Raw genomic sequence first — 23,750 nt, 5'->3', positions numbered from 1 at the left:
TTTGCAGCATTGGTTGTGTGAGTTAACTGAGAGGATAAATAGGAAAAGCACAGTATGGGTTCTAAGATAGGGGACACTGGAGTCAGACTGTCCTGGTTTGAATCCTGGCTCCCAATCTTGGTGTGACTGGGCACAAGCCATTCACTTCTCTGGGTTCACTTCCTCCTATAAATGGGGACAATAAAACCTATTTTACAGGGTGTTTGGGTGGAATAAATGAGCTAATCCATGTGTTTGATGTAGTAATTGACATATGTCACTCATAAACATAGGGTATTCTTATTGCAACAACAAACTATGTAACCAAGTACTCTCTGATTGACGAGGGTCTTTCAGGTTGTAAATAATCTGATGATCTCATTCACATCTAGATGTTAATATCTGGTAAAACCAAACAATGAATTTACAAGAGGCAGATGTTGAGTTAATGCAAACTAACATTTGAATACGTATATGCCCATGCTTTCCAGAGCAATTCTATTTGACAAAGGCCAATGAAACCTAAAAGTAGGACTTGTGGCTTCATTAATGATCTGTAAGGGAGATTCTTTGCGGCTGGAAGACCCCTCCCCTGACCTATGAAGACAACGTCTTACAAATATATATGCAATCCTGAGAGTTATCAAAATCCTTTCAATTGAATTTCCTCCTTGCAGTGCTGTTCCTTTTGAGTAAGTCCCATCAACGAATGCGCGGGTTCCTCGGATAAGAAGTGCTTTACAACAGGCCTGGCGCGGTGGCTCACGCCTGTAATCCCAGCACTTTGGGAGGCCGAGGCCAGCGGATCACAAGTTCAGGATTTCGAGACCATCATGGCTAACATGGTGAAACCCCGTCTCTCCTAAAAATACAAAAAATTAGCTGGGCGTGGTGGCGGGCACCTGTAGTCCCAGCTACCTGGGAGGCTGAGGCAGGAGAATGGCGTGAATCCGGGAGACAGAGCTTGCAGTGAGCCGAGATCGTGCCACTGCACTCTAGCCTGGGTGACAGAGGAAGACTCCGTATGAAAAAAAAAGAAAAAAAAAAGGGCTTTACACTAAAGCACCAAAGATAGAAGTCCATTGAAAATTGTTTTTCTTTTTCTTTATTTTTCTTTTAAATCGGATATAAAGAGGCATTTTAATTGGTGTTTCACTTTCCCCCATCATCCCCTTGGTCTAAGCTAAAATTTTCTGTGGAAGAGGGGAGAATGGCTAGTGGAGGAGAGCCGCCAGCTTATTATCAAAAGACAAAATTACAGGCAATTTAATTATAGATTTAACTGACTGTATTAGTCTGTTCTCATGCCGCTAATAAAGACATACCCAAGACTGCATAATTTATAAAGGAAAGAGGTTTAATTCACTCACAGTTCCACATGGCTGGGGAGGCCTCACAATCATGGCAGAAGGCAAGGAGGAGCAAAGCCATGCCCTACATGGTGGCAGGCAAGAGGGAATTTCTGCAGGGGAACTCCCCATTATAAAATCACCTGATCTTGTGAGACTTATTCACTATCAAGAGAACAGCACAGGAAAAACTTGCCCCCATGATTCAATTACATCTCACCAGGTCCCCCCCAGGATACATGGAGATTATTACCATTCAAGGTGAGATCTGCGTGGGGACAGAGAGCCAAACCATATCACTGACCTTTATTAATTATTTATGAATCAGGCAGCCTCCATTCTACAAAAGAGAATGAATGGCCCCACTGGGCAATAGCAGAAGTAGCAGAAGAGTGTTTTTTTTTTGTTTTTTTTTTGTTTTTTTTTTTGTTTTTTTTACGTGGAAGCAAGGAAACAGAGCAATAGGGGGAAAGAAAACCTGATTGTTTAACATCGAGTTACTTCAAGTTAACTTTTCTGTAAGAGTGAAAGCAGAGCAGACTTTCTTATTATGCTGACTCAAGTAGACTGGAACCTCCTGTTTTCAGGAAAAACTGGCCTGTTTGGGGATCTATCTGCTTCCTTTAAGTTTTAGTTTGACGATATAGCATTTAGCATGCGCGACTCCACTTGGTTTGGTCCCGTCTACTGGGGCCTAGTGCAGGAGCTCAGTCCAAAAGATCTCCCGTAATTTCTGTTTCACGCTATGCTGCAGCAGGATATAATGGTAGAGATTGAGGGAAAGATGCATTTTAGATGGGGCAATCTGGAAAGGCCATTCAGAGGAAATGAACCTGGGGTAGAAAAGTAAATGAAGTACAGGGAAGAGAGATGCTCTGAGAAAGAGCATCCCAGGTAGAGAGGTCTGCTCACAAAAAAATCTCCTGTAGCCAGCTTCCAGAATAAAAGTGGTCAGAAAACTATGACATGATCCTTATTAAATAACAATGAAATTTGGGGCGCCTCTGCCCGGCCGCCCCTACTGGGAAGTGAGGAGCCCCTCTGCCCGGCCACCACCCCGTCTGGGAGGTGTACCCAACAGCTCATTGAGAACGGGCCGGGATGACAATGGCGGTTTTGTGGAATAGAAAGGGGGGAAAGGTGAGGAAAAGATTGAGAAATCGGATGGTTGCCGTGTCTGTGTAGAAAGAAGTAGACATGGGAGACTTTTCATTTTGTTCTGTACTAAGATAAATTCTTCTGCCTTGGGATCCTGTTGATCGGTGACCTTACCCCCAACCCTGTGCTCTCTGAAACATGTGCTGTGTCCACTCAGGGTTAAATGGATTAAGGGCGGTGCAAGATGTGCTTTGTTAAACAGATGCTTGAAGGCAGCATGCTCGTTAAGAATCATCACCACTCCCTAATCTCAAGTACCCAGGGACACAAACACTGCGGAAGGCCGCAGGGTCCTCTGCCTAGGAAAACCAGAGACCTTTGTTCACTTGTTTATCTGCCGACCTTCCCTCCACTATTGTCCTATGACCCTGTCAAATCCCCCTCTGCGAGAAACACCCAAGAATGATCAATAAAAAAAATAAAAATTAAAAAAAAAAAAAAACACAATGAAATTTGGTGGAAATAGGTGTCATGTCCTATGCTGGTCACAAAGCCAGGATCCTTCTTTCCTAATGATGCCACCACTTTTTGAAATGCAGTGTTGTCGTCAAAGCCTAGAGTGAATGTGTTTCAAAAAGGAGACTGTTTGATCATCAAAGCAAGTGCTTGGAACACTCATCCCAGGAAAGGGAGGTGAGCGACAGCCAACCCCCAGGTTCTCAGCTCTCATCTCCCCAAACCTCTGGCCTCAGCCCATCTGAAGATCACTCACTGGCAGACTCTCTTATCACAAAGCACAGACAATGGCAGCTGCCAAATCTTCCAGCTTCTCTGAAGTATTGTCCAAAGCCCACCCTTCGCAGGACCACAAATCTCCTCCTGGAAGAAATGATTTCGGGCAGCTTCTGTGACAAGCTGACTTGCTCCTAAATTCCTCTCTCCTCCTACACATGCTACATACCTTATAAACCCCATGCTTGGTCAACTCAGATGTCACTTTCACAGGGGAGTCTGCAGTGATCAAATAGACAATATCAGTTCCCCCTGGTATAGATTCTCGGGACTCCCAAAGAGCCTGCCCATGTGTAGTTGCATGAGATAATGTGGTTAATGTGTGTATTCAAGCTGTAACCTCCATGAAGCCCATTTTGTTTGTGTTGCTGAGTTTTGAGGTTGCAATGTTTAAAAATAGTAAAATTTTGAGTTTTGAGGTTGCAATGTTTAAAAACAGTAAAATCATGATTCTCTTACAAATATAACATGAATGTTTGTCAAAAGATTCCATTTAACCCTTTAGTTAATGCAGAAACCCATAAGATGTTACAAATAATTCAAAGAAGAATCCAAAAAACAGATACACATATAGACATCAGGAATATTGAAAATAATTTACAAGTAGAAGCAAAACTGGTCGATGTCCACAGGGCAAGAATCAATTGCATTCCATGGGACAGAATTTGCATTTCTATGCACAAGAATCATTTGCATTGCTATCTGTTTTCTACAATTTGCAGAGCTGAGAAATAGCTCAAAGATGGACAGGGACTGAGATGACGAAGAGACTTTTAGACAGAACACCCATAATCTTTTTGCTTCTCATCAAAGTGTTTCCCAGTTTTGCTCATTGTTTTCTTCAACTACTCTGCAGAGTGCTCACGGCATAGTAGATATTGAATGAATATTTATTATTAAATGAAGGGCAGTGTTGTGGGTATATTTATTAAAAGATGGTATGTTTTGAAGCTGGTGGGGTGATTCTCAGTTTTAACCTATCTTAGGATCCATATCCGCTCCTGTCTAGTAGACAGATAGAGAAGTTCAACTAGGATCTTTGGAGAACACTCATCCTAAAAGATATGTGTGGCTCAATAATAAATTCTCTTTGGTCAGAAGAAGGCACACATGTGCACATACAAAAACACAGACCACTGACATTACATGAGGACCTTAAAATAGGCTAGATGCTATGGGAAAACTTAAGAAAATAGCATTCTAATGAGATCACGAATGTAAAAAGGTTTTGAAAATGGTAAAATACCAAATGGGTGGAGGTTGAGAGAGTAAAATATCCATTTCAAATCTGTGTCGTATGGATTTAGAGGCAGGAATACTTCGACTCAGCCAATAAAATAAATACCAACCCCCAAAACTTTCAGTTTATCCCATAATTTATGCAATAAAAACCTCACCTCCTTCCCTCTCTTTTATCACATCTATGAACCTTCTACAATTTCTCAATCTCATCTCATGCTTCAAGGATGTTTACTTACACTGGTTTTCTTCAAGACCCTGGGAGGAAGCCTAGCAATGCATGTATATGGTCATAAGTTTTCTAAAAATGTCAAAGACAAAGTATTTTACCTGCTATCAGTTAAGACTATTAATGATATCCCATCAACCTTCTTAATTACACTTCCTCTTGTGTTATGGTTGTCCAAATGGCACAGGCATTTTGGTGATCCATCCAAGAGATTTGAGTGGGAGATACATTTAGTGTGATTGAGCGTGACATATTAATGTAGTTTTCAGTCACTTTTATGGAGAATTAAACTATTGCTACAACCCAGTGTAGGAATGCCTTCAAGAAACATGTGTTCCACCCACTATGTATACCCATCAGGAGTCATGATACGAAAATGCTGGGAAAAGGTTATTTCATGATGTGCCTGGGCTCTGTAGCCCCAAGCCCTGGAAATAAGTGAGCAGTGAGGGAGGAATAAGACTTGAAATGAAAGATGGTAGAAACAAGTCTGTAAAAAATTCTTCCAATCATAAGATATATAAAATGTGTGTAACTGACTTGGCTCTCACTGATAACTACTCAAAATAAAATTTATTACCAAAAGGAGTATACTAGAAAAATACAGCTAATACAATTTTAAATATCACATAGTTTATATATGTATATGGGAATCATATTAAATAAAATTCATTAGATCTTTTGAATATTTAGGGTGAAATCCTTCAGTTCTACTACAATCAGTTCTCACTGTATAGACACGTTTTATAAAACACAATCATCAATAATAACAGAAATACATCCCAATCAACAAAACCATAATCTTTCTTTTCTATGAAAAGTATTACAAAATTGTTGTCATATGAAAAAGCAATAAAAGAATTTGCAGCTAAAAGGAATAAGAAAATGTATCCTGGAATTATATCAAGGAGATAATAAATACAGAATATTACATTATTTCTTCGAATTTTGTGATGTTTGTGCTTTTTGGTAAGATTGGAGAAATTTGGGCAATTTGTTGTGATTTATATTCTAATTCTAAATAAATATTTACTTTTGTAACATGTTTTTGCTTGTACTTTTGCAATCTTTTTCTTACAGAGGGCCTTGAAATTCTATAACCATCAGGTTCCATATAGCCTGGCCCTGACCCTACTCATGGCGGATCATTTTATGGTCCATCCCATTACTCACCCTCACCCTATTACTGGTTTTCTTACCTTCTCCCTAAAAAAACCCTAAAGGCTCCTCCAAAAGAGTCCGAGATTTGATAAATGACTTCAGAGTTTCAGAATACAAAATTAATGTACAAAACTCAGCAGCACTTCTATACAACAATAATGATCACGCTGATAATCAAATCAAGAAGTCATCCCGTTTACTATACCTACAAAACGAACAAATAAACAAACAAAAGATTACCTGGGAATACATTTAACCAAGGAGGTGAAAGGTCTGTACAAGAAAAGCTACAAAACACAAATAAAATAAGTTGTAGATGACACAAACACATGGAAAAACATCCCATGCTCATGGATCAGAAGAGTCAATATCATTCAAATGACCATATTGTCCAAAGGAATCTATTTGGTTCATGCAAAAGTAATTGCGGTTTTTGCCATTACCTTCAAGGGCAAAAACCTCAATTACTTTTGCAACTACCTAATATAAGTGTAATGAAATTCCTATCAAAATACCAATATAATTTTTCACAGAATTAGAAAAACAATCCTAAAGTTCACATGGAACCAAAAATGAGCCCAAATAGCGAAAACTGTCCTAAGCAAAATCCAGAAGCATCACCTTATCTGACTTTAAATTATACTACAAGGCTATAGTAACCAAAACAGCATGATACTGGTATCAAAATAGACATGATAAATTGGAGAGAATAGAGAACTCAGAAAGTCACATACATACAGTCAGCTGATGTTTGACAAAGTAGACAAAAACATATATTGGGGAAAGGACCTCCTTATTCAATAAATGGTGCTGGGAGAATTAGATTTCCATAAGTGAAAATCAAAAGACTTAATGGACAACCTGCAGGATGGGAGAAAATATTTGCAAACTCTGCATTTGACGAAGGACCAATATCCAGAATCTACAAGGAACTTAAACAATCGAACAAAAACAACAAAAACCATGAACAGACATTTTTCAATAGAAGACATACAAATGGCCAACAAACATATTTAAACATATTTAAAAATTTAAACATCACTAATCATCAGAAAAATGCAAATTAAGACCACAGTGAGATACCAGAGTGGCTATTATAAAAAAGTCAAAAAATAACAGATGTTGACCAGGATGCAGAAAAAAGAGAATACTCATCCACTGTTGGTGGGAATGTAAACTAGTACAACTTCTATGAAAAACAGTATGGAGATTTCTCAAAGAACTAAAAATGGAACTACCATTTAATCCAGCAATTCCACAGGTGGGTATCTACCCAAAGGAAAGTACCTCATTATAACAAAAAGATACCTACACTTGTATGTTGATTACAGCACTATTCACAATAGCAAAGATAGGAAATCAATCTAACTGTCCATCAATGGATGACTGGATAAAGAAAATATACAATATTTCAATACTGTGCATATATACACAGTATTTATATATACAGTATTAATATATACAGTATATAGATATATATGTATATATAGATATATATACAGTATATAGATATATATGTATATATAGATATATATACAGTATATAGATATATATGTATATATAGATATATATACAGTATATAGAGCATATATAGAGATATATATAGATATATATGCTATATATATATAAAAAATAGAATACTACTCAGCCATAAAAAAGAATGAAATCATGTATTTTGTAGCAACATGTATGGAACTGGAGGCTGTTATCAACAACTCAAACAGAAAGTCAAATACCACATGTTCTTGCTTATAAGTAGGATCTAAATAATGTGTACACACAGAGAGTGTGGAATAATAGACATCAAAGACTCAGAAAAGTGAGAGGGTTGGAGAGAAGTGAGGAATGAGAAATTACTGAATCAGTTCAATGTACACTATTTCGGTGATAGTTACTCTAAAAGCCCAGAGTTCACCACTATGCAATATGTTTGTGTAACAAATTGCACTTGTACCCTCTAAATATATACAAAAAGCCTGATTTTTAAAATAACGTTTACATAGGCACTTCAATATAGACATGTGACAGTGGCAATGTCAAAATAACAGACTTCATAATTACCAGATCTAACATCAACTCCATTTGACTCCAAATCTCCACTTTAGTAAACATGGAAAAGTTTCGTGAAAGAAATTCCCAAATAATTAAACATTGTAAACAGAATGGTGTCCCGAAATTGCCCATGTACATTCCTTGGAACTATGGATGCATTGCCTTATAAAGAGAAATGGAATTAAGTTTGTAGATAGCATTAAGGTTGCTAATCAGCTGGCCTTGAGATGGGGAGATTATTCTGGATTACCTAGTTGGGCCCAATTTAATTACAAGATTCTTAAAAATGAAAGAAGGAGGGCCCGGCATGGTGGCTCATGCCTGTAACTCTAGCACTTTGGGAGGCCAAGGCGAGCAGATCACCTGAGGTAGGGAGTTCGAGACCAGCCTGACCAACATGGAGAAACCCCATCTCTACTAAAAATACAAAATTAGCCAGGCGTGGTGGCACATGCCTGTAATCCCAGCTACTCAGGAGGCTGAGGCAGGATAATTGCTTGAAACCAGGAGGCGACGGTTGCAATGAGCCAAGATTGCGCCATTGCACTCTAGCCTGGGCGACAAGAGTGAAACTCCATCTCAAAAAACAAAACAAAACAAACAATCAAACAAAACAAAGAAAGAAGGAGACAGACAGAAGAAATGAGTCAGAGAAAGAGATGTGAGGAGCAAATCAGAGTCAGAGAGATACTGCATTGCTCACTCTGGAGACAGAGGAAAAGACCAAAAACGTGGGCAGCCTCCAGAAGATGAAATGCCAAGGAAATAGATTCTACCCTTCAGCAAGCCTTCAGCAAGAAGTGCCGCCCTGCCAACACCTTGATTTTTAGTTCAGTGAGAACTATGTCAGACTTCTTACCTTCAGACTGTAAGATAATATATTCATGCTGTTTTAAGCCACAAAGTTTGTGGTAATTTGTCACAGCAGTAGAAAACTAACGCATGGAGTATCAACTTGAGCAACTGAGACACTGGGATAGGGGACCACCCATGCCAGTCAAGATGTTTTGGGTTATTGATAAAAGAATGCTAATACACTGTTGGTGGGAGTCTAAAGTAGTTCAGCCATTGTGGAAGACAGTGTGGCGATTCCTCAAAGACCTAAAGGCAGAAATGCCATTCAACCCAGCAATTCCATTACTGGGTATGTACCCAAAGGGAAAAGAAATCATTCTATTATAAAGAAACATGCATGTGTATGTTCATTGCAGGACTATTCATAACAGCAAAGACATAAAATCAACCTAAATGCTCATCGATGGTAGACTGGATACAGAAAATGTGGTACATATTTACTGTGGAATACTATGTAACCTTAAAAAAGAATGAGATCATGTCCTTTGCAGGGACATGGATAGGGCTTGAGGCTCTTATACTTAGCAAACTAACATAGGAATAGAAAACCAAATACCGCATGTCCTCACTTATAAGTGGGAGCTAAATGATGAGAACACATGGACGCATAGAGGGAAACAACACACACTGGGGCCTTTCAGAGGGTGGAGAATGGGAGGAGGGAGAGGATCAGGAAAAGCAACTAATGGGTACTAGGCTCAATACCTGGGTGATGAAATAATCTGTACAACAAACCCTCATGACACAATTTTACCTATGTAACAAACCTGCACTTTTACCACTGAATTTAAAATAATAGTGTTTTTAAACGACAAAAAATAGAAAACTCATCTGAACTGACTTAATTATGAGGAGAATATATTGGCTGGTATGACAAAGGAGACCAGATTAGAGCCCATGCAATGGATGAAACAATCGTGGTGGCCTGAGGGACCGTAATGACTTAATGGATTTAACCTAAGCTATGAGCTCCAGCCCACACCCTTCCAAAGAAGGGGTACATCAGCATCACCTGGGTCCCCAAATGCAAATCAGATATGGTCAGGAAGGGAGAAGGCAAAGAAACTCTGAAAAGGCTGCCACAAATGTCCACGACAAAGAACATTGCTTTTTCATTTTCCTTTTAACTGGTCTGTGAAAGGCGGACCTAGAATCTGACCACCGCAGAGACATGAAAATAAGGCAAGGAAAAAAAAAAAAGTTTAATTGTTGATGTTGGAACACACATCTCCTGCTTGGTCAATCAACAATTTTTTTATTACTTGATTTCACCTTCTTTCTAGTTAAAATAATCTGGTAGTCTGTCCAAGAGGTTGATTAATAAACCTTCAAAAGCTAGTCGTCTTTAAAGGATTCATTCGAGTCCATTTCAATGCTCTTGTGTTTGTTTTTGTAGCTTAAAGGCCACCAAGTCAGAGTTCCTCTTGGTTGATTCTCTCTTCCACCAAATGTTCCGTCACTATTGTTTTATTGCAATCTATTTACAAGAAATGGGCGATTATTTTTTTCCACGATGCCTGGAGCCCTGAGCTGTGTTTGTTTATTGCTCTCCTGTGCACCAGAACACATCCTTGGGATTCAGCTGCCAATGTAAGGGATTAAGGGGCTAAGTGACTCTGACTAGAGTAGGAATCTTTCAAATGTGCACCTCTCCCCAGCTCTTTTGCAGGCAATTTTTATTTAACACACACACACACACACACACACACACACACACACACACCCTCCACACACAGTCCTTGCTACAGGCTGACAACAAATCAATCTCCTAAGATCTATTCAATCTCTTTTTATCCATCTTGGAAAATAGAAAAATGTGCAGGTATAACACATGCAATTATTCAAATATATATATCCATTATATATATATTCAAATATGTATCCATTAGTTATATATACATGACTGTATAATATCTATTCTATATATAGTAAATATTTATATTCAATATATATCCATTAGTAATATATATGACTATATATGTTATATATATGACTATATATACATATAACTAATGGATATATATTGAATATATGTATTATATACATATGGAATTGTATGAAATTCCATACATATGTATTCCATACATACATAACAGATCCATTAGTTACATATAATATATAGTCAATATATCAACCCATTATTTATATATAATATATAAATATAATATGTATCATATATTTTATATTTATATTAATATAAATTATAAATATAATATACTAAATGTGTTTCTATATATATAAAACTAATGACTATATATAATTCTGAATCTTCATATATATAAAACATTTCTCTCTTCAACCCACTGTTCAGGGTAAGTACTATCTTGTCTATTTCCATATATATATATATATATATATATACACACACACACACACACACACACATATATATATATAAAACAGATATATATATCCATTATATGTATACATATACATACACACATAGACGCACACACACACACACACACACACATACATATATATATATATATTCATTAGTTAATCTGCTTTTCTCCTTCAGTTGGAAGTACCCCAAAGGAATATCTATCTACCCATCTGTCCTGCCACAAAACAGATCATTCTCAACAGCAGTGGAAATAGAATCAGCTCCATTGCCTGGGAATCATTCTTGTCAGGAGTGCTTTCGTTCTAACCTAGGTAAAGGTAAGCAGCCCTTCTCCTTGTTTGATTATAGTTTCAGCTTGAAATTAGAATGATTTAAATAATGAAATGGGCAAAAACATTTTTTAAGTTAGCAATGAAGTTGATGGCATAATGAAAATAGCAAACATTTAAAAATTGACATGAACTCTTGGATTTGAATATTTATGCTCATTGTTTCAAACTTTTGACATAGATTTAAATCTTTTGTATGTCAGAGAAGACTTTTACTTGCCAAATTATCTTTCTTATCTTATCTGTAAAGAGAACAAGGTACTCTTTACAAATACATTTATACACTTTTCCAGGTCTGAGATCAAGACTTGATTAGTCTTACTGAGAGTAAACAAAATGATCAAACAAACAAAAGCCCCACTGCACGAAGCATTTCTATATCTGAAAACGGGACACCCAGGGGTTTTCCAGAGTTGAAGGAAAAAATAAACCTATTTCTAAAGGTCATCTCCTCTCTCTTCAGCCCCAACTGCTCCCCACAAAGGAGAAGTAGGAAATCAAAGACCCTGACAAGTAACCCCTAAAGCCATCCTCTTTCTCATTAGCATTAAGCCCTACCCTTGAATCCTATCTCAGTGAATATGTTGGTCCATCACACACAATGATAAAAACAACAATGATGATGGTGTGTGTGAGGATTTACCAGCACCATGCTCTCTGCACCTATTAGCTCATTAAATCCCCATATGCCTAAAAAGCAGGTATTGTTGTTGTTACTCTGCAGTCAAGGGAACCTAGTTCTAAAGAGCTTAAGAAATGTTGTTATGGTGACATCTTTGAGCTGAATCTTAATCTCAGCACGCTTATTTTTGGGCTGAATCATTGCCTTGTAGAATGTTTAGCATCTTACCAGTCTTCTACCAACTAGATGGCAGTAGCAACCCCTTCTGCCAGTTGTGATAAAAAATGTCTCCAGACGCTGACAGATGTTCCTTAGTGGACACAATAGCCCTGGGTGAGACCCTCTGCTCTGTGGCATAGATAAATAACCCACTTATTTAACTCTGGAACCCACATCCCATATCACCATGGTATCGATTACTAATTCTGGATTGTATATATAAAACATTTCTCTCTTCAACCCACTGTCCAAGAGGAAGTACTGTCTTCTCTATTTTTATAGAGCCACTTTCATAACCTTCCTTTTCTATTCCTTTGCTGTCATTTTTGATCCTTTATAATCTGACTTCTCTTGTTAAATAGCTTCCCTCATCCACATCACACAACCTGGTATTTTTCTCCTCTTTCTCCTTCTCTCTCTCTCTCTCTCCAATCATGCTATTCCATAGCTCTGCTGATCAGCATTGCACCCCATTGCTTAGACCTAATAGTAGTCATCCTTGGGTAACCACCCACCCCTGTTTGTAATTTTAATTGTTGTGTTCTCTCGCTCTGTCGTCACCACTCTATACTTCCTCCCATCCTCATCATGCAAATATAGTCACACCATACAAATGCCATGAATTTTTTTATTTTCATAGACATTATATTGTTCTATAGATAAAGTTTATTTATTTGGGCCAGGCATGGTGGCTCACGCCTATAATCCCAGCACTTTGGGAGGCCGAGGCGGGTGGATCACCTGAGGTCAGGAGTTCGAGGCCAGTCTGACCAACATGGCAAAACCCCGTCTCTACTTAAAATACAAAAATTAGCTGGGCGTGATGGTGCACACTTGTAATCTCAGCCACTCCAGAGGCTGAGGCAAGAGAATCACTTAAACCTGGGAGGCAGAGGTTGCAGTGAGCGAAGATCACACCATGTCACCCCAGCTTGGGCAACAGAGTGAGACTCTTTCTCAAAAAAAAAAAAGTTTATTTATTTGGATAAAGTTAATTTTCACTTGGAGTTTCTTGTTTACATTTAGGACCTCAGGGCATATTTGACAATCTACAGACCACATTCGAAGATCTCTAAGCTAATATGGACATTGTGCCTATTCCCAAGATAAATGCCAATCACTCGAGACCACCTATTTTAGAATTTTGAGTAGTCTTCAGCTTGTCCTCAATATGGGTGGATGAGAGATGGGAGAAAAGGCTGACAAGACGGCTGATTGTCTTATCAGAATGGCAAATTCTGATTCTAACTTCTATTTCAGAATTTAATCCTCCCACATATCAGTGGCAAAATTTGATGGTGTTAGTGTGGTTATAATTACCAGAGACTCTGTGTTTGAATTTGAAATTTTAAAGTAGATGGCATCGTCCCAGACCGCATTATTTCAAGATCATTTATATGACATTTACTGAAATATTGGAAAAGTCCAAGTTCTCTTTCATTTTTCTTTTACTCTCTAATTGGTTAGAAAAAAAAATAAGAAAAAAAATTACTCTGCTTCAAAATTCTTCATTACTCACTAAAAAACATAATTTCACCTGTCAGAGGCAGATATTTAGATTTAATTAATGGAAAAACAGCTATCAAATCTTGAGACCTGTACTTCTGTGTGACAGTGTATCCATACAGGCTTTTGGTTGCAAATGGCAGAAACCCAACTCAAGCCAAGTAAAGGAGTAAATTGATTAACTCCTATACTAGGAATTCTTAAATTCCCAGGGGAATGGATTGGGAGATTTGGGTACAGCTAGACATAGGGATTTGAACTATACCTTCAGGACTTTCTTTGTTCCCATTTTAACCTCTTCTTGGCTCCTTGCATAATAACCAAGAAGACAAACTGCAAGATTATCAGTGGAAACTCCAAATCTATGGTATTTTTAGCTTTCTGTTTCAGAGAAAAATCTACCAGCTAGGAAGGGTCTCAGGGAAGTTTCTAATTGGCTCATTTGGTTTATCCCCGAGCCAGTTATTGAGTTCAGGCTGGTAAAGCATTTTTACCAATCCTGGGCCATCAAGCTCAGGGTTTCAGATTTAAAGCTCTATTAGGACCACACAGAATGTAGAAATGGAAAGTCCCCAAAGTAAAAGCATGGTGCTATCAGAAAAGTGGGAAATGGATACCAGTAAGTAAAAACAAGATACGTTTATCTCAGGCACAAGTTTTTATTCCTTAAATACCCTGAGCTGTGTAATATTTCCATAAGAACATTCTGTTAATGATCAAGACGCTTGTATTGAGGCAGGAGAATAGGGTCTGGAGCAGGAAACCTAAGGACTTCCTACAGCTAAATCAAATGGAAACACTTAAGCTATGACAGGAAATATCCTCTTCATTTACCTAGGGTGTACGCTGAGTAAAGGACTTTGTAACTTTACCTCATCCCCTTCATTTACATACGGTGTACACCAAGCAACCAGTGGAAACCTCTAGAGGATATTTAAACCCCAGAAAATTCTGTAACTGGGCTCTTAAGCCCCTGTGCTCAGACCTGCTTCCGCCTCATGGAGTGTACTTTCATTTTCAATAAATCTCTGCTTTTGTTGCTTCATTCTTTCCTTGCTTTGTGCGTTTTGACCAATTCTTTGGTCAAGATGTCAAGAAACTAGGCATGCTTTACTGGTAACAATATTAAGGCTGGGGGTTAAACTTTGTCTTAAAATTTGTTGTTTCATTTCTACTATTTTCAAACCCCTCTCTGTTCAATCTATCTCTTTCAACAATTCTAACTAGAAGCTAATTCTAGGGAGAGATAACTCCCAGGCTCTCTTTTTCTCTCTTTTCATCTACTTGATTTCAGAACTTCCAGAAAGAAAGAGTGAATGGCATTCCTACCTGACAATAGTTCCTTCCAATAAGTTGTCTTACTTGTTTATTCTTGCAATGGGGCTCTAAGTAATATATTTCTATCAAATTTTATATTTCAGGTTTTATATACTTTCTTCATTTACATCTGTACTATCCAATATGATAAACACTAGGCACATGTAGATATTTAATTTTAAAATTAAATTAAGTAGCCTTAAGTCCAAGAAAACATTCAGTTCTTCAGTTGTATTACCATCTTTCAAGTTCGCAATAACCACAGGCACCTGGAGGCTGCCATGTTGTGTAGCACAGTATAGAACATTTATATCACCAAAGTAAGTTTTATTCAACAGTACCGATCTAGATCAAAATGTTTTCTGCATTAAAGACAAAATTCCATTTTTCTAAACATATCTTCCATCCATACAGCCACTCAATACAAGTAGAAACTTAAAATAAGAAGTAGTATATGTACAGTGATGATTGTACACTACAAATCATGGACCATTTATAATGGGTACTTTATTTATTTATTTTATTTTTGAGATGGAGTCTCACTCTGTTGCCCAGGCTGTAATGCAGTGTTGCGATTTCGGCTCACTGCAACCTCTGCCTCCTGGGCTCAAGCAACATTCCTTGCCTCATCCTCCCAAGTAGCTGGGATTACAGGTCCCCACAACATGCCCAGATAATTTTCGTATTTTTCAGTAGAGACGAGGTTTCACCATGTTGGCCAGGCTGGTCTTGAACTCCTGACCTCAGGTGATCCACCCACCTCGGCCTCCCAAAGTGCTGGGATTACAGGCCTGAGCCACTGCTCCTGGCCTATAATGGGCACTTTAAATTAGTATTATAAAATACTCAATTGCATTTTTAAAATTTACAATTCAGTTTCTAATAAGTTAAGCATTCCTTATTTTCCTCATTCATTCAGACTAAGCCACAAGCTTATCGGCCTTAACTTCCATCACTTGTTCCCCATTTAGTCTACATTTTGGCCATATACTAAATGTATCTCAATTTTCCAAAAGTTTTAAAATCTATCATAATTTAAGTCTTATTTTCTAGACCCAGTGCCTGGAATAATCTTTCTCCCTGTCTCCCATTTATTCATCAATGCTTTTTCTCTACTCTTCATTAGATATTGGCTATTTGCTACAATACCCCTTTATATACCTGCATTAGGGAATTTATCACACATTGAGTTGTGATTAGCACTTTGTATATGCACCTCCTTTATTCCTGTCTCTTAGGAGCAGGGACTCTGTGTAGCATCCTCCCAGCTCAGCCTAGAGCACTATGCCTATTACATATTGGGCTTCAATATATGTTTTATACATTAAAGTAGGTTAGAATGCTATTTAAAGCCCTCAAAATTGTGACTCTGATGTAAACCTCCACCTCATCCCTGCTGCTGTTACACAGAGACGGCATCCCAGCCACCTCGAACCATTCATTCATTGTTCTCTGGACACACCATGCACTCCCTATCCTCACATTTTTGCATAAGTTTCTTACTTTCACTGGAAAACATTCATCTTTCCCCCCTAGTATTCCTCCTTCACTGCCAAGCTCAAATAGCCTCTCTGGAAACGTACCCAATGCCTACTCACCCAGAACATGTTTTTCTCTGTTCCCTTTTCCCATAGTGTTCTGTCTTTGAACAAAGTATTAAGGTATTTATCACAGCCAGAATTTCATCACCATTAGTCGTGTCCAAGTCTGTCTCCCTCACTAACTTGTGACCCCTTCTAGGACATAGACTATGTCTTATTCATCTTTATTTTTCTCTTGCACTTAGCACAACATTTACCCACAATTGACACTAGAAAGTGTTTGTTGAATTGAATTGCTGTGCAAAGAAGTACTTCCTTTAAAAGACGTAAAAGAAAAAGAACAGTGACAGCTTTGCTGAAGAGAACACAATGAACTGAAAAGCCACCAGCTTTGATCAAAACCCTGCCCCAGGAACTCTCCAGCTGCTCAGACATGGTTTTCTGGCATCTGTGGGAGCTGTGGAATCTCAGAAAGGGACAATGTGATCAGGTCTGAGGGAGGAAGAAAAACACAAGCAGACCAGAGGCAGTGATTCTGCACACTGTAGTTTATTCATGTTTGGCAGAGTTCACTGAGCAGAACTCACAGTTGAGGGAAGCTGAAACCCTTGGCAAATGGAATGCTTAGAGGCTCCAGGTTTTATATCTGTGTTTAGTTCTCATACCAATAAAGAGAGAAGATTTTTGTAGATAATATTTAAAACGATTGTGAGAGGTGAAAAATAATTATCTAGTCTCAAACATCAAGGAAAATATTCAAGTGTTTAGAATAATGGAAATTTCCATCCAGCAGGGATTATAAATATCATCTTCTCCAGGAATAGCAAACAAAAGAGATGGGCTACTGATCGCCCTTTCCAATGGCTATGACAAGTGATTGTAAAACAGCTGCATAATTATTTCTTGAAGAGTGAGGATACGACCTCGGATTATTTCTCAACACAATGCCAACACCACAAGAGTTCATCTGTGAGATGACGTTATTTGCTAACCCATCTCACTTGTGAGATGAAGAAAGTAAAGCCTGAGGGGAAGGCAATCCTCCCCGGTGACTCAGTGAATTGGTGTAAATTCTATCTACATCCCAGTTCGATTACCTTTCCATACACCATGCTGCTGACCTATTTGTTCCTTTCCTGGTCATAGCTCTTATAATGATGTGTGCATTCCAAACAAAGCATGCCTGCCTAAAGCTCGGACCACTTTATGGTGGCATATATAACTTCTCATCCACCAAGAAGTCTTACGATAATGCATGTTCTCCCAAGTCAAATGTTTTCTGACAAGCCAATCCTAAAATAAACCACAATCTTTTTCTTGGATATCAGCTTTATTCTCAAATCCCTGATATGGCTGCACAGGGCAATCCCTGGCAGGCATTCTCAGAAATGAGCTTTGCTGAAAATCTTCAGGCCTCCAACCTCCCCTGAATGCTACTGCTCTTCATCAAGGTTGCCGGGATAAAGCCTGGGGCTGCCAGAGGGTGCACAACCTGGGTTCCAAAAGCTTTAGTGCTTCCTCCCTCTTCCTTTTAGTGCAGCTGTTTGTAGAGCTTCTCAGAGGGAGGACTTGAAAGGGACTGTTAATAACCCTGCTCAGAGCTCCGGAGGAGAAATTAAGCCTTTCTGCAAATTCAGCATGGAGCTGTTTTTGGCAAGACAAAGATCTCAGATGGCCTCTCTGGCAATGGGGCTATTTAGGGCTTAACCCTCTAAGTCTTTGTGCTTTGGATGAGTGTAACTTTAATGACCCTATTTCAGTTCCAGAGGTGGACATCTGACCTAAGTTGGGCATTTAGCATTATTACATCGTTCTAGTCACAGTGTTAGTGTCCAATCTGGGCTACTGAGAGGCTACCCTGACACTTCTCCTAAAATTGATTTTTATGAAACAAAAACAGCAACAACAGAAACTTCGTCTCCTCCCTTCTGGGCATTTATATTGTCACAGAAAGTTTAGAACTGGTATTATCAATGTTTTAAACATTTAAGGAGAGTATTCCTGAGAATAAAGTGGATACAGAGAAAACAGTTTAGAGGTTGACAAATGACATTACTTGGTCCCTTGATGCAAGCAGGCCTGAGCTTCATCCTTGTTCAATGCAATTCCTTGGTGCAATAAATCTGTTTCTTTGCTTAGTGTGGTAGAGTTAGGTTTCTGTTACTTGCAATTTCAAGTGTCCTGATTAATAAATCTGCACATGAAAAATAAGGATTATGGGGCCAAAAGAAATTGGGTAATCTAGGTTCAACAAAATTAAACACTGGAATATTCTTCTGACTGAAATTTCTCAGATAATTTATTATGCAAATGCATTCTTGAATTCTCCGAGAGAGAGTGTAAGCTGGTATATAACAATGTCTTGGGAGATTATGTAATTTATGATTCAGTGGACATAATTGTAAATGGGAAATAAAAATCATTGGTAATGTTGAATCTTATGTATGACATTAGAAATACGTATATTTTACTATTGTTTCATTTAGGTATATCTTAGGCACAAATTTTAAATAATATACAGTATTATACATGTGTTTGGTAGAAAGAAAAGTCTGATATTAATTTCAAACCACTCCTCACTAAGAAGTTGCAGAAAACTCATAGTCTAGTCAGAACACTGAGCTAAAATGTATTGAGTGAATATTATTTGCTAAACACAACACCCTATAAATGCATTAATTCATTTAATCACCACGACAATGTAATGCAGTGATTGCAATTCAATTTCCATTTGACAAATCAGGAAACCAGGGCTTAGGGAAGTTAAGTGACTTAATAGTCATGTGTTAGTTGCAGAATCAGGACTTGATCCCAAATCACTATGATGTCATTGCCCAAGTTTTTAAACACTGCAATTAGAAAGCTTTTTCGGTTTGATCTAAATCCTTCCATTACTCTCCATTGTACCCTACATTTCTTGTCTTATGCTGATCTGTTTGGGAATGTTATTTCTTCATATAAATGTCCTTATTACAATGAATAGAAATTTATTAGGAGTTACACATGAAATTTTCCAAATTTAGCTTATAGCATCCTCTCTGTTTCTCCTGGATTCCTATCACATATTTGCCACTGGTTGATTACAACCCTGGGAATGTTTCTTGCATTTTCTGTCCCTTGACCTGCTCTCACTAATCTGAGTATCCCATTGGGGTGAACAAGGGATATATCTCCCAGATCCGTCCTCACAGCAGGGTGTGCTGCCCAGCTATGAGAAGTGTGGCACTGGGGAGCTCCAGCTGTCATTTCTTGCAGGATCTGTTTTGGCTTCAGAGAGCACCCTCGAGAGAGACCACAGTCTTCCTGGGGCAGCCTGAAGCCAATTTTTAAGCAAGGGCAAGGTATAAATGCCTAGTCATTTAGGCCCAAACTGAGTCAACTGATGGGCGACATCCTCTTAGAGCTCCCTGCCTCATTGGCCAAAACCCTACAGTGGCCTGCATTGCATTTGACTTCTCTCTCTTCAGTGCACATTTCTCCTCTTTTTTCACAAATGTTGATCTCTAATAAATTGCTTCTCATTCTGCATCTCAGAGCACCTGCTCTGAAGAACACAACCGGCAAGACTCATGGGCTTGCCTGTGTGTTCAGAGCCCAGATCCTTTGCACCATTTCTATATACCCATTCTTTGTGACGTATAAAGTCATTTCACGTTGGGTCGCTAGATTTATTCACCCAGTCAACAAAAATGTATTAAGCGTCTCTAATTTAATTAATTGAGCATGTACTATATATTAGGTGCTATGCTAAGAAACTGAAACACAATGGTTAATTCAATCCCCTTAATTTGATAAGGAAGCAGGCTTGTAGAGGGTATGTTATTTGGCAAAGGCACCCAGTAAGTAACGGCAGAGTGCGCATTCAATTTCCATTTGCTCCAACTCCAAAGTTTACACTCTTTCTACCTCCACTTTTTACATGGCCAAGACTGTGGTCAGATATATCAGGGTTTGAGTGGCTTATGCTCTGTTTATAATCTCTGCACACATGGTGGCTTACAGCTGTGCTAAGCGGATACCTTAGAAGTATAAAGAAATAACTTCTAAGACTCCTGACTTAGAACTTAGTTCATACCCTGCCAGGATGGAGGGGATCTTTCCCACAAAATTGTATGCCTCCACCTCAGGGAAGCACTTCAGGAAATTCAGTGGGAATCTTTGGTTTCTGAATTTCATGATTTCCTGTGATTCCCTATCCAGAGAAGAGCTTGTCATTGATTTAGGTTTTCCTCCTCCAAGAACACCCAGTCTGCTGTTCTCATTCCGTGCCTTTTCTTTGTGATCCAGCCCACTTCCTCCTCTATGAACACATGAAAACATTGTCTAATTGGCAGGAAATCATTAATGCAAAGGGTACAAATAAAAATAATGATACTTATTATTAGTAGTAAATAATAATCGTCTTAAATAGCCATAAGAAATAAAATAATAATAGCAGTGATGACAATGGTAGTAATAAATATAACTTCCATGAGCAGTTACCATAAACCAGGTGCCATGCTAAGCACTTTACATAAATTATCTCATTTAATCCTGAAAACAACCCTTAACAATGGATATTATTAATTCCAAATTTTGCAGCTTGTCATTTATTTAGAAATGCCTAGGGTTGTTCTGTATAATGTGGCAGCCACTAGTCACATGTGGCTATTTAAATTTGAATTCAGATTCGCTAAAACTAAATAAAATTGGCAATTTAGTTTCTCTAACTGCTCATGTTTTAAGACCTCAAGAGCCACATGCAGCCAGTAGTTACAGATGGGACAGCACAGATGTGGACATGCCCATCATCACAGAAAGTTCTATTGGATAGTGCAGGTCCAGAGAGTGTCAATTGCTTGTCCATGTTCAGCTAGCTGCAAGGAGGCAGGCTGAGCTCTGAAGCTGTGGCTGTCCTTAAGATAGACATGAAAGTGTTTTTATTTCTGGTTCAAGAAAAGACAAAAAAAAGAACATGACCTCACTTTTTCTTCTCAAAGCCAAGTAACTGTCCCAAGGAATCCAACCCAGTGAACTTCTCCATAGGAATAAAATTTTTTTCACATATGCACTGAGTACGTGTGGTCAGTAAAATAATGCTGCTTCAAAGATGTCTGTGTCCTAATCCCTAGAACTTGGCAAAGAGGAATTAAAATTGCAAACATAATTAAGGTTGCTAATCAGTCGATCTTGAGAGAAGGAGATTCTCTTGCATTATCTCTTGGATTCTCTTGGTTCATCGTAATCAAAACGATTTTTACAGGTGAATAGAAGAGCTGGGGTGGAGGGTCAGAGTGAGGCAATGTGAGACAGACTTGACTGGCCAGGACACTGCTGGCTTTGAAGATAGAAGGGTTATAAGCTAGGGAACGTGAGTAGCCTCTAGAAGATAGAAAAGGCAAGAAAACAATTCCTCCATTAGAGCCTGTAGAAAGGAAGACAGCCTTAGTGACACCTTGATGTTAGTCCAGTGAGACCCATTTTGGATTCTGACCTCCAATGCTGTGAGATAATCAATTCATGTTGTTTTTAGTTGCTAAGGTTTTTCTTCTTTATTAAAAAGTATTAAAAATAGAGCCGGGGTCTCCCTTTGTTGCCCAGGCCATTCTCAAACTCCTGAGCTCAAACCATCCTCCCACTTTGACCTCCAAAAATTTTGGGATTAGAGGTATGAGCCACCGTGCCCAGCCTAAGTTACTAAGTTTATGGTAAATTGTTACAGTCACAACAGAAAACTAATGCAACACCACTCATAGCCCAACACTATTAGAGGTGTTAGGAACAGAAAGACCTTTTGGCATCATTTCTGTGTATTTTAGCAGTTAGTCTAGTAGAAATTCTTTTCTTGTGCCCAAAGTCGGAGCATGGAGGCTGGAAAAAAATGTCCATGGTAGGCAGAAGGTTTGCAGAGAAAATCAAATGTAAAGGCAGAGAATAGGTCATCACTGACAGCCTTCAGAGAGAACCAGATGGCAGTTAACTTTGCCCCTAGTTCCTGAGTACTTTTAGGTCAGTCTTTGGACATGAGCATTTCAAATATTCTTACAGGCTGCCAAGGGTGAAATAGACAGGGACCCAATGATGGCACTTTTCTTCCCAGGGCTATGCAGTGAATAATAGAAGAAAGGAAAAATAAATATGTGTAAATGCGATTCTTGGTGATTAAAGTTCATATTACTAGTCTGGTTGACTGATCAGTTAGTAACTGTGTATCATGAAGCCTCACCTCCGTAGATTCTAAATTTATGTTTGGAACCTAAACAGTGATTAGAAATAAAAAGATAGAGGGAAAGAAAAATGGAACAACCAAGAACTTTCTCAATGCCCATTTTGTCAGGGTTGTTGCTGACCTAGAGTTGCATAAATAAATAAACCACAAATAAATAAACTGGGTTATTGCCCCAAATAGAGAGTATAAAAACAAAGCTCTTTGAAATGTACATAACTGTGAAGTACTCCAAGAAATTAGACCCTTCCCACCTCACTTTCCACCCTCTGGCCCCCAAAAGAAGATAAAACAAGAAAACGACTATTACAGGTGCTATCTGCTTTGTTCTTTAGCCTCACTCTGACACTATCTAATTTCACTTTAACACAAGTTATAAAAGTTTGCAATTGGGTTTTCTTGCTTAGGCCAACCAGGAATTAATGAGATAGGTGGGAGATGGGTGGAGACAGAATTGAATGACACAGGTACACCACTTTATTATAAAAAAAGGCGGCAAGCTATTGAATGTATATATAACGAAGTGTCTCAGTTTGAGGGTACTTGGAGAAGACATGCAAAATGCTACATATGGAGAATATCTGACAGCATCTTAGAAATTTGTGTCCAAAATGAGGGGCTGCAGTCATTGAGATGGGTCATTTAAGGATCCTCCATTTCATAATAAATGGATGGAGGTATATAATGATTAAAATATGTATATGCAGATTTGGCATGTAAATCGGTGAGCTTTTCCAAGAAGACTTTCCTTAACCATCAGGTTGTGCTGAGCTCCCCTCTCTCTGCTGATGGAGCTCCAGCCATATACTTCTCCCAAGGCCATTAGCAATACTTGCTTCACTCCTTGAGGTCAGGAATTATGGCTTATTAATATGTGTGCTCAGGGGTGCCTCCTGAAGCTTGTAAATGA

The 23,750-nt window shown here is 38.4% G+C and overlaps 1 long non-coding RNA gene across 1 annotated transcript in view; it reads left to right on the top strand.

Moving 5' to 3' along the window:
• The window catches only part of LOC105371069 (uncharacterized), a 236,274-nt gene that overhangs the window by 207,086 nt on the left and 5,438 nt on the right, over positions 1-23,750 (top strand). The window contains exon 4 of the long non-coding RNA NR_197430.1: positions 11,276-11,418. This is a non-coding gene — a long non-coding RNA (uncharacterized LOC105371069). The remainder of the gene's footprint in view (positions 1-11,275; positions 11,419-23,750) is intronic.

This window comes from Homo sapiens, chromosome 16, assembly GCF_000001405.40.
Source record: "Homo sapiens chromosome 16, GRCh38.p14 Primary Assembly".
NCBI classification, from domain to species: Eukaryota; Metazoa; Chordata; class Mammalia; order Primates; family Hominidae; genus Homo; species Homo sapiens.
This window is presented reverse-complemented; position numbering and strand designations above follow the sequence as displayed.